Below are 12689 nucleotides of genomic sequence, written 5' to 3'. Positions count from 1 at the left end.
CATATGTTGAAATCCTAACTCCAAGGTGATAGTATTAGGAGATGGGACTTTTTGGGAGGTGATTATGTCATGAGGTCAGAGCCCTAAGTAATGGGATTAGTGCCCTTCTAAAATGAGCCTAAGTGAGCTTGTTTACCCCTTCTACCATGTGAGAGCACAGGGAGAAGTTATCATTTATGAACTAAGAAATAGTTCTGGTCTTACCAGATCTCAAATCTGCTGGTACCTTGATTTTATACTTAGACCTAGATCTTAGATCTTAGACTTCTCAGTCTTCAGAACTGTGAGAAATTTCTATTGCCTATAAGCCATCCAATCTACTGAATTTTGTTATAACAGCCCAAACAAGCCCAAATGAACTTGTCCTCATTCATTTCATGTGGTGGGGGCAACAGATTTTTGGGCAGTGGATAAGGGTCTGCCCATGTCATAAAGTATTTTGAAGAAGAAAGATTGGAAAATTTGTTTCAAGGAATTTTAGGCTGTAAATTTTGTATAAGTTTAACAAGAGGGACTTCCACCTTCTGACTATCTAGTTTGCTAAGACACTGATTTGTTACCATGCTTGAAGGGAATCACTCCATAGGTCAGCTAGGTGATTTGTTCTTTTAGTAAAGACTCCTTTACAAGCAGCTGTACACCCATATGCTGGGCTTGAGAAACAGCCCTGTGGGTTGCTCCTGGCAGACACACGTCCAGATTGACTGAGCAACTGCATGCCAGTGCTCCCAGCCAGAATAACAGCTCTGTGGCCCCAACCCCAATTTGGCTGACCCACCTGAGAAACACACATGCACTCCCCACCTGAGAAAAGCCTAGAAAGCCCATTTCTGGCAAAGTTCACTACTATTATCACAAACTCTCTTAGCCTAGGCCGCTGAGAAATTCACAAACACTATTAGTGTGGACTAAGGTAGAAGAAACTAAATGGATACTATACTACTGCATCCACCTAGAACCAAGGCCAATGAACTCCACTGAGTCAATACCTATGAAAATGAATAAGTCTTTCCTTACAAAACCTACTCTATAAAATTGTAAGAGGCAACTTTTCTACCAGATATATAGAAATCAATGTAGGGACACATCAACCATGAAAAACCAAGGAAACATGTTACCTCAAAAGGAAAACAATAATTCTTCCATAACAGACCCTAAGCATAAGGAAATATATGACATGCTAAAAAAGAATTAAAAATAATAATCTTAAGGAAACTCAGTGAGATATAAGAGAATGCAGATAGATGAGTCAACAAAATTAGGAACAGAATTCATTATTTGAATGAGAAATTCAATGAAGAGATAGATATCATAAAGAGAGCCAAACAAACCTTAGAGCTGAAGAATTCAATGAATGAAATAAAAAACACAATTGAGAGCTTCAACAACAGACTAGCCCAAGCAGAAGAAAAGAATTTCTGAACTTGAAGACAGGACTTTTGAAATAACATAGGCAGATTAAAAAAGAAAAGAGAAAAAAAGAATGAAGAAAGCCTACAGGATTTGTGGAATTCCATTTTCCATTAAGTGCACAATATGCATATTATGGGTGTTCCAGAAAGAGAAGAAAGGGAAAAGGTAAGGAAAACATATTTAATAAAATAATGTCAGAAGACTTCCCAAGTCTTGGGAGAGATGGACATTCAGGTCCAGGAAGCTCAAAGAACCCCAGATTGATTCAGCCCAAACAGGTCCTCTCTGAGGCACATTATAGTTAACTTGTCAAAAGTCAAAGACAAAGAAAGAATTTTAAAAGCAGCAAGAGAAAAGCATTAAGTCACATATAGGGGAATTACCATTAGCTATGAATCTCCATTAGACTATCATATTTCTCAGCATAAACCTTACAGGTCAGGAGAAAATGGTATGACATATTTAAAGTACTGAAATAAAAATAAAACTCTGCCAATTAAGAATATCATACCCAGCAACATTATCCTTCAGAAATGAAGGAGAGGCTGAATGTCGTGGTTCATGCCTGTAATCCCAGTAATTTGGGAGGCTGAGGTGGGAGGATCACTTGAGCCCAGGAGTTCAAGACCAGCCTAGGCAACATAGTGAGACCCTGTCTCTACCAAAATATAAAAAATTATCTGGGCATGATGGTGTGTGCCTGTAGTCCCAGCTAGCCAAAAGAAGGTGAGAGATTTGGTTGAGTCTGGGAGGTTGAGGCTATAGTGAGCCATGATTGTGCCAGTGCACTCCAGACTAGGTAACAGAATGAGAGCCTGTCAAAAAAAAAAATGAAGAAGAAATAAGATCTTCAAGACCATCCTGGCTAACACGGTGAAACCCCATCTCTACTAAAAATACAAAAAATTAGGTGGGCATTGTGGCGGGCGCCTGTAGTCCCAGCTACTCAGGAGGCTGAGGCAGGAGAATGGTGTGAACCTGGGAGGCAGAGCTTGCAATGAGCTGAGATCGCCCCACTGCACTCCAGCCTGGGCGACAGAGCAAGACTCTGTCTCAAAAAAAAAAAAAAAAAAAAAAAAAAAAAGAAATAAGATCTTACACAGACAAACAAAAACTAAGAATTCATTACTACTAGACTGGTCTTACATGAACTGCTCAAGGGAGTCTTATATCTGGAAGTGAAAAGACAATAGCCACCATCATGAAAACATAAAATGATAAAACTCACTAGAAGAGCCAATACACAAAGGAAAAAGAGAATCAAATCTTACCACTACAGAAAACCACCTACCTGCAAAAATAATAAGAGAGAAAGTAAGGAACAAAGGAACTATAAAAGAACCAGAAAGGCTGGGCGCGGTGGCTCATGCCTGTAATCCCAGCACTTTGGGAGGCCAAGGCGGGTGGATCACGAGGTCACGAGATCGAGACAAGCCTGACCAACATGGTGAAACCCAGTCTCTACTAAAAATAGAAAAATTAGCTGGGTGTGGTGGCACGTGCCTGTAATCCCGGCTACTCAGGAGGCTGAGGCAGGAGAATTGCTTGAACCTGGGAAGCGGAGGTTGCAGTGAGCTGAGATCGTGCCACTGCACTCCAGCCTGGTGATGGAGTGAGACTCCGTCTCAAGAAAAAAAAAAAAAAAAAAGAACTAGAAAACAACAAAAAAAAGATGAGTAAGTTCTCACCTATCAATAATAACCTTGAGTGTAAATTAATTAATTTCCCCATTTAAAAGGTTTAGACTAGTTGAATGGATAAAAAACAAAACCCAACTATATGATGCCCACAAGAAACTCACCTCAGCTGTAAAGACACACATAGACTGAAGTGAAGGAATGGAAAAAGATAATCCATGCCAAGGGAAACAAAAGCAAGGAATAGCTCTACTTAGATAAAACAGACTTCAAGTAAAAATCTGTAGACAAAGAAGGACATTATATAATAATAAAGGAATCAATTTAGTAAGATAAAATAATTGTATATGCACCCAATACCACAACACTCATATTTATAAAGCAAATATTATTAGATCTAAGGGGATAGACCCCAATACAATAATCACTGGGGATTTCAACACCCCACTTTCAGCATTGGACAGATATCTAAACAGAGAATCAACAAAAAAACTTTGGTTTAAAACTGTACCATAGACCAAATGAACCTAACAGACATTTACAGAACATTTCATCCTGTAACTGAATGATACACATTCTTTTCTTTGGCATGTGGAACATTCTTCAGGACTGATCATATGTTAGGACATGAAACAAGTAACAAAAAGTACTCATCTGACAAAGGGCTAATATCCAGAATCTACAAAGAACTCAAACAAATTTACAAGAAAAAAAAACCCATCAAAAAGTGGGCGAAGGATATGAACAGACACTTCTCAAAAGAAGACATTTATGCAGCCAACAGACACATGAAAAAATGCTAATCATCACTGGCCATCAGAGAAATGCAAATCAAAACCACAGTGAGATATCATCTCACACTAGTTAGAATGGCGACCATTAAAAAGTCAGGAAACAACGGGTGCTGGAGAGGATGTGGAGAAATAGGAACACTTTTACACTGTTGGTGGGACTGTAAACTAGTTCAACCATTGTGGAAGACAGTGTGGCGATTCCTCAGGGATCTAGAACTAGAAATACCATTTGACCTAGCCATCCCATTACTGGGTATATACCCAAAGGAATATAAATCATGCTGCTATAAAGACACATGCACACGTAGGTTTATTGCGGCACTACTCACAATAGCAAAGACTTGGAACCAAGCCAAACGTCCAACAATGATAGACTGGATTAGGAAAGTGTGGCACATATACACCATGGAATACTATGCAGCCATAAAAAATGATGAGTTCATGTCCTTTGTAGGGACATGGATGAAGCTGGAAACCATCATTCTCAGCAAACTATCACAAGGACAAAAAACCAAACACCGCATGTTCTCACTCATAGGTGGGAATTGAACAATGAGAACACTTGGACACAGGAAGGGGAACATCACACACTGGGGCTTGATGTGGGGTGGGGGGAGGGGGGAGGGATAGCATTAGGAGATATACCTAATGTAAATGAAGAGTTAATGGGTACAGCACACCAACATGGCACATGTATACATACGTAACAAACCTGCACGTTGTGCACATGTACCCTAGAACTTAAAGTATAATAAAAAAAATTGAAATCATATCATGTATCTTATATGACCAAAATGAATAAAACTAGACATCAATAACAAGAGGAACATTTGAAACTATGCAAACTCATGAAAATTAAACAACATACTCCTGAATGGGTGAAGGAAGAAATTAAGAATGAAAATAAATAATTCCTTGAAACAGTGCTGCAGTGAACATATGCATGCATGGATCTTTATAATAGAATGATTTATATTCCTTTGGGTATATACCCAGTAATGGGATTTCTGGGTCAAATGGTATTTCTGTCTCTAGGTCTTTGAGAAATTACCACACTGTCTTCCATAATGGTTCAGCTAACTGAATTCCCACCAACAGTGTAAAAGCATTCTTATTTTTCTGCAACCTCTCCAGCATCGCCATTCCAACTAGCATGAGATGGTATCTCACTGTGGTTTTGATTTTCATTTCTCTAATGATCAGTGATGTTGAGCTTTTTTACATATGTTTGTTGGCTGCATATTTTATCTTCTTTTGAGAAGTATCTGTTCATGTCCTTTGCCCACTTTTTAATGGGATTGTTTGTTTTTTTCTTGTAAGTTTGTTTAAATTCTTTGTAGATTCTTGATATTAGGACTTTGTCAGATGGATAGATTGCAAAAATTTACTCCATTTTTGTAAGTTGCCTGTTCAGTCTGATGATAGTTTTTTTTTTGCTGTGCAGAAGCTCTTTAGTTTAATTAGATCTCATTTGTCAATTTTTGCTTTTGTTGCAATTGCTTTTTTAATTTTGCTATTTATTTATTTTTGTAGCAATTGCTTTTGGCAATTTCACCATGAGATCTTTGTCCATGCCTAAATCCTGAATGGTATTGCCTAGATTTTCTTCTAGGGTTTTTATAGTTTTGGGTTTTACATTTAAATCTTTAATACATCTTGAGTTAATTCTTGTATGAGGTATAGGGAAAGAGTCCAGTGTCAATTTTCTGCACATGGCTAGCCAATTCTCCCAGCACCATTTACTAAATAGGGAATCCTTTTCCCATTGCTTTTTTTTTTGTCAGGTTTGTCAAAGATCAGATGGTTGTAGCTGTGTGGTCTTATTTCTGAGTTCTCTATTCTGTTCCATTGTTCTATGTGTCTGTTCTTGTACTAGTGCCATGCTGTTTTGGTTATTGCAGCCTTGTAGCACAGTTTGAAATCTGGTAACATGATGCCTTCAGCTTTGTTCTTTTTGCATAGGATTTCCTTGGCTATTCAGACTCTTCTTTGGTTCCATATGAATTTTAAAATAGTTTTCTTCTAATTTAATGAAGAATATCAATGGTAGTTTAATGGGAATAGCATTGAATCTATAAATTACTCTGGGCAGTATGGCCATTTTCACAATATTGATTTTTTTCTATCCATGAGCATGGAATGTTTGTCCATTTTTTATTTCCTGTCTGATTTCCTTGAGCAGTGGTTTCTGCTAGGAATCCAGGCTAGAACCACTGAGCCCAGCCTTCTTCTTATGCCTTTGCACTTTAATAGCTTAGCTCCCCAAAGCCCAACTTTTTTAACTTGTGCTGCTCTTGGTGGATTCAAGGGTGGTTGTGGTGGTGGTAGATGATTCCAGAGAAGAGACTTTACAGTGATACAGCCTGGGCTTCCTTACTCCATTTGCTTCTTCCTAAATAACATTATTTCTCTATCTTCCTCCCCCCACCTCCAACCAGAGAAAATATCTACACTTCTGTCCTAGATGTATTTTCTAGGAACCTTTCTTCCTCTTAGTTTTAGTCACATAAACCTTACTGTATATAGGAGGAAGAGAAAACAGTAAACTCTGTGTCTGGCTAGCTCAGTTGCACCTGTTTTTATGCTTCTCACTTCTTTTATGCTTTTATACTTCTCTAGCTGGACTCTGGAACGACCACTATGTTATCTGGTATTTTGTGGCTGTTAGTGATTTGGCAAGAGAGCAGGCAATGACTGATCCAGATCTTTGTGGTGGGGAGAATAACACAACTCGAAAGCCTCAAAAGCTCTTACTCAACTCATTATCTCACTTTTGATGCTCAACAATCTGTCCTGGGCATCTATTTCCTTTTCTCACCAGGATACAATTGCCTTCTTTCCTCAGAGGATTCTTAGTCTTGACTTTATTCATATCTGTACACCTCTTTTTTACTTCTCTGACTTTTCAAGGAGTTGGCTGAAGTAGGAAGCAAACAGGCTCCCGAAATATGCTATCTTGTCCCTGAAAGACTGTCTGCTTCTGGGACACCCAGTTTCATGATTCATAACAGGAAAATCTCAGAACTTCTGTGTATGTGGACTAATTAGATTAGTCTCATCTCTATTATTTTAGGGTCTTGCAGCTGGCTGGGCTCAAGAATGATCTATAATTTTAGGATCTTCATTGAAGATGAAATATGCCAGAATCAACTGGGTTATTAGCACTTTACCTGCTCAGAATAAACCCTGTCTGGTTGAGGGTATGATCTTGTAGTTACCAGAATTTTTGCAGAAAAGCATCTTAATTTAGGGCATTGATCTTCCTAGTCTTAAGATGGAGCAGAGATCAGGCTTGTGTGTCTAGTTATGGTCTCACTGGTTTACAATGTTGGCCCTAGCTACCCCTGTTCCAGGTTGTGATTCACAGGTGAGGGATTGGCTTTGTCTATAAGATGGACATGGTAGATATGCAGAGGGTAATAACAGGTGCCAGGATAGGTTTTCCTACTTCAGTGCAGGTTCAGTTTGGATGCCTGAAAAAATTCAGAGGTGAAGTGGTCAACTTGTAAATCTTACAGCTAGGCTGATCATGGCCATGCCAAACCTTGTAGCATTATATGCAGAAGATTTGGGAACCTGTGTTTGGATAATCATTTTTTGGTAGCTGAAACACAGTCACTGGACTGAAGTTGAGGATTCTTTTCCAGAAGGACTGACTATAATCAAGTCAAATAGCAATGACAGAGGTCCATATAATTACTCCTAAACAGGGACCAGGTTGGGAGGTAATTAAACTAATTGAGGGACTTGAATCAGGAAACACGACAAAGAAAAATTTGTTATGAGTGCAGGGACATTTCACATAAGTGTGCAGTTCGCTGCTAGGTTTGATTTCAAGATCAAAAGGGAGTATAGGTTTGGTACTTTGGTTCCACTAACCAGTTCAATTTGACAGGGGAGGTGATGCAAACCTGTACAGACTTGTCAAACCTGAAACAGTTTAGCAGTTTAGGATAAATGAAGCTAAGTGTGCATATGTAAGGGATGGCTCAGGAGTGAGGGGGAAATCAATGGATGGGACCAGCTGACATTTCAGCTCTGCAAATCCAGATAAGACAAGTGGAGAGAAATTAAGAGAGCCAGGGCTGACAGAAAGACTCTTTCATTCTAATGATCATACAGTTAATTTCCAGGAAAGACAAAACTAGGGTCAGGAAAATAGCAAACATATGGAAGCTTAAAGCATTATGGAAATATTACAAAGATTTCAAAATCAGTCTGAATTTTCTTGTGTCTTTATTTCGGATGGTGCAGCAGACAACTTCATGAGTTCACATCCTCTCACCTCCTGTTTAAGCAAAGGAAAGAAAAACCCAAATCGGTGTTACAGGTTTTTGAAGGTCTCCCTGGATTAATGCAGGTCATTTTTTATCCTAGGGAAAGCACAGAGGATGCCTTCTATCTCAATGTTTCCCTTATTTTATTGATTAATCTTTCACTTTTTCATTCACTTAACACTTAATCATTGCTTAGTATGTGCCAGGCACTGAAAAGATCCACTAGGAATATAAAATAAACAAAACAACATTTCTGCTTTCTAGTTACTCCCAAGGCCACTCTCCAGCCAGTTCTCCTGGGAATCAGCCAAACCACAGCCCTGTTAGGCACCATTGACCTTCTATTTCCAATGATTGGGAAATAGTCAAGCATGGGCTGGGAGCTTAGTTGTATAAAGCAGCAAGTTGCTATGAAGAGTTCAAAGGTATGAGAGTGCAAGAATTTGGTTTGGGTGACCTTGTCCATGTAAGATTGTCAAGACCATTGTGACTGTCAGCTCTGGTTAGAAACCCTGCTGTGCCATTTAATAATGTGACCTCGAGATGCTTGGTTACTTGTACTGTACTTGGTTTCTTCATCTGTCACATAAAAATAATGATATATATCTATTGATATATATATATATATATATATATATATATATTTTTTTTTTTTTTTTTGAGATGGAGTCTCACTTTGTCTCCCAGGCTGGAGTGCAGTGGCATGATCTTGGCTCACTGCAAGCTCCGCCTCCCGGGTTCACACCATTCTCCTGCCTCAGCCTCCCGAGTAGCTGGGACTACAGGCGCCTGCCACCACGCCTGGCAAATTTTTTGTATATTTGGTAGAGACGGGGTTTCACTGTGTTAGCCAGGATGGTCTCGATCTCCTGACCTTGTGATCCGCCCACCTCGGCCTCTCAAAGTACTGGGATTACAGGCGTGAGCCACCACGCCTGGCCCTACCTTGATATAATTTTAAATTATATCAATATATGTTAATTGCTTAGTGCAGTGCCTGACACACAGTAATTGTCCAATAGATGGTGGCTATTATTTTCTCTCTGGGCATTTGATTTCCTAACTGCAAAATGAGCAAATGATCCTGACAGCCCACCCAAATGTGGTTTTTTTTTTTTTTTTTTTTTAGATGGAGTTTTGCTCTTATTGCCCAGGCTGGAGTGCAATGGATGGCGCGATCTCGGCTCGCCGCAACCTCTGAACCCTCTGAACTTCTTGAACCCTCCCGGGTTCAAGTGATTCTCCTGCCTCAGCCTCCCGAGTAGCTGGGATTACAGGCATGCGACACTATGCCTGGCTAATTTTGTATTTTTAGTAAAGATGGGGTTTCTCCATGTTGGTCAGGCTGGTCTTGAACTCCTGACCTCAGGTGATACACCCACCTCAGCCTCCCAAAGTGCTGGGGTTACAGGCATGAGCCACTGCGCCCGGCCAACCCAACTGTTAAAACTTCTTATTTGAGCAATCCTCCCTCTTCCCACTCCAAGCAAGGTTAGCCCCTGATCAATTTTCTCTATCTTAGGATGTCAAAACCTCTTCTTTTACTACCCCCAAGGACCAAGGACAGGATTAGATTCCTTACGGTGGTTTGTATTTTGCAACACAGGCTACTTCACGTTCTATTTTAAGCTTGAAGTTGTTAAGGTTGCCATTACAGCCGGAGAAGACAAAAGTTTCACATCTTTTGGAGGTTCTGTTGTAGAAATATCTAAAGTGAACTTCATAGCAGCTTCCAAAATTCATGTCCAATTTGCAGGGATCTGCATGAGAGGTTCCCATTGAGTTAGTGGGAATTGGTAAGGACTCAGCAGGAGAACTTGTCTTTATGGGCCCTTAAAAATTCCTACGTTTAGCCTGGAACTATTCTCATATTCAAGGACTCTGAAAGATGTGGTTTTCTCTTGGAGTTAGAGTTGCTTGGAAATGTTGCCCTTGCACAATGCAAATTGGTTAAAATTCCAGGTTGTTGTCGTGAGCAGTGTATTGGAGAAGGAGAAGTAGTGATCAGTGAAAAAGGAGGTTCCACCACTAGCTTGTGCAGGGCGATGAGCTTCCCTACATTTCCTATCTTACAGTTTATTAAAGTACAGTATCCTCCTGCTTCCCCACATCATCTTCCTTTCCTTTTAATTGCCCACATAGGACATGCAATTCAGAGTGCCTCCTCCCCAGTTTCATACATTCACTATACTACCTATACTTCAAAATTTAAGTAACCATGGCTGCTGCTATCTTTAAAGCAGGATGCATACTAAAATGCTAAAATGCATAACCTTGGGGTGATGCTCGTTCATCCTCATACCCCGTCATCTTCTCCTTTCTTGCCTTCTCAGAGGCAAACCCTCTGTTTTTATTGTTAAGAGTTGGGTAGTAAGTGGTTGGAACAGCCACAATCATGGTTGTATTGACAATCCACCTTACTCAAGCAGCCAGCCTGGAATTTACTCTCTGGTAAAGTTATGTGCATAATCTTATTTCATACTCACAAACACCCTCTGCAGCAGGCACTTTTCTGATCTTCATTTTACACATGGGGAAACTGAGACTAAGAGAATAATAAGTGGTTGAGTGACTTGTCCAAGGGCACATATCTGCTAAGTGAACAGGTCCAGAACTTGAAGTGTCTGACTTACGGTATAAACTGTGCTACTTTCTCGTCCCCTGGAAGCGCTGAGCCTTCACACACTATCTATGGAAGAAAGTCTCATTGCCTCTCACATTTACATTGTGAGCTCCTCTAAACAGGAATCATCTGTCCAAGAGTTCTGTATATGTCCATAGCCCAGATACTGAAAATGTCTTAATTTGCTCTGTCTCCAACCCCCTTTCTCTCTCATCCCAATACATAATCATCAATGGTCTGGGATCTTTGAAATTTGTCACACAACCTCTGATTCAAAATACTTCCAGTCCTTTGGACCTCCTATAAAAGAGGTCTCCATCTGGAAAGGACTTTGTGTCATTTCTGTTTTTTCTCATCAAACATCCAGAGGACCCCTAGTGTAAGTAATGCCCTGAGTCAAGGGACTAAGTGTCTATGGGTATTGTCATGAAAGGAAGACCTTCCTGGACTACCTAGATAACACACTTTTCTCCCAATACCTTCTCTCTCATTCATAATTGACCTTTGGATTTATTTTCTGCCTTAGCTTCATACCTTTGAGGTCTCCACATATCTTCTCCGCAATTTTATTAACACCACCCAATAACAGGGTATTCAATGAGCAGAAGATGAAGAATCTTAGAAGAAATCCCAGCTTGGCAGACTTCATGGTGCAGCAAGCAGCAGGCAGGATAGTTGTGGTATCACCTGATGTTATATTTTGGGCTTGATACTTGAGACGGTTGAGCTCACCTACCCCAAGGGCCAGGACTGGACATTACTAGGTGTTGAGTTGAACAGTGAGTGCTTGGGTACCCAGCCATGAAGCTGAAGGCCCCAAACTGATTAGACCCTTGATAGTGAGTCCCATGTTCATCTAGAAGCAATAGAAACTTAAGGATCAGAGCTTCTGCATATATTTAATCATGAAGGGTAGAATCATCAGAGTGAGGAATTAAAAAGGGATTTCTTCCTTTCTCTTTTTGACCTTTTATGCACAGAAGAAACTAATCATGGCACAAGAGAAAGAGTGCAATAGCACTATAATAATAGTAACAGGGTTAGTTATAACCTAGAGTACTACTTAATTCCAGGTGCTATTTTTAAGTAATTTGTATATACTTTATCATCATATACACCCTATGAAGTAAGTACAGTTATTACCATCATTTAAGGATGAAATGGAGACAGAGATTAGGTTACATGTACAAGGTCACTCATTTATTATGTGGTAGAGACAAGATTTGAACTTGGCTTCAGAGTTTTTGTTCTTAGTCACACTACACTATGTTATCTAGGAACATGAGGACATCTTGGATCTGTTTTCTCCTAAAAGTTTTGAAGTTTTGGCTTACCTTTACACCCTAAAACCACCTGATGTTGATTTTTTGGTAAGGTATAACATAAGGATCCTTTTTCATTTTTCAGTGGTTCCAGACCTATTTATTAATGAGTTCCTCTTCTATTTAACTGCAAAATAATTTTGCTTAATTATGTGGGATTGCTTCTGAGCCCTTTATTTCACTCCACTGTATACCCCCACTCCAAAGCCACACTTAATCTCTTGAACTTTGTTTATCTTAGGATTTTGTATTTTCATATAAATTTTAGTCAGTTTATCAAGTTATTCAAAAGACCTGTTTCGGGCCAGGCGTGGTGGCTCATGCCTGTAATCCCAGCACTTTGGGAGGCTGAGGTGGGTGAATCCCATGAGGTCAGGAGTTGGAGACCAGCCTGGTCAACATGGCAAAACCCCGTCTCTACTAAAAATACAAAAATTAGCTGGTTATGGTGGTGAGTTCCTGTAATCTCAGCTACTTGGGAGGCTGCGGCATGAGAATTGCTTGAACTGGGAGGCAGAGGTTGTAGTGAGCTGAGACTGTGCCATTGCACTCCAGCCTGGGTGACAGAGCAAGACTCTGACCGAAAACGAAAACAAAAACAAAAACAAAAACAAAACACCTAT

The 12689-nt window shown here is 39.8% G+C and overlaps 1 protein-coding gene across 1 annotated transcript; it reads right to left on the bottom strand.

Moving 5' to 3' along the window:
- Window positions 1-7930: 7930 nt before the first annotated feature.
- Window positions 7931-11414, bottom strand: SPINT4 (serine peptidase inhibitor, Kunitz type 4). The gene is made up of 3 exons (NM_178455.3): window positions 11279-11414; window positions 9704-9881; window positions 7931-8132 (listed from the first exon to the last, which is right to left on the bottom strand). Exons 1-3 carry the CDS (start codon window positions 11391-11393, stop codon window positions 8126-8128), a joined length of 300 nt encoding a protein of 99 aa, NP_848550.1. The 5' UTR covers window positions 11394-11414; the 3' UTR covers window positions 7931-8125.
- Between the last annotated feature and the right edge of the window lie 1275 nt (window positions 11415-12689).

Source organism: Homo sapiens, chromosome 20, assembly GCF_000001405.40.
Source record: "Homo sapiens chromosome 20, GRCh38.p14 Primary Assembly".
NCBI lineage: Eukaryota > Metazoa > Chordata > Mammalia > Primates > Hominidae > Homo > Homo sapiens.
Note: the sequence above shows the minus strand (reverse complement) of the source record. Positions and strands in the feature narration are given on the sequence as shown.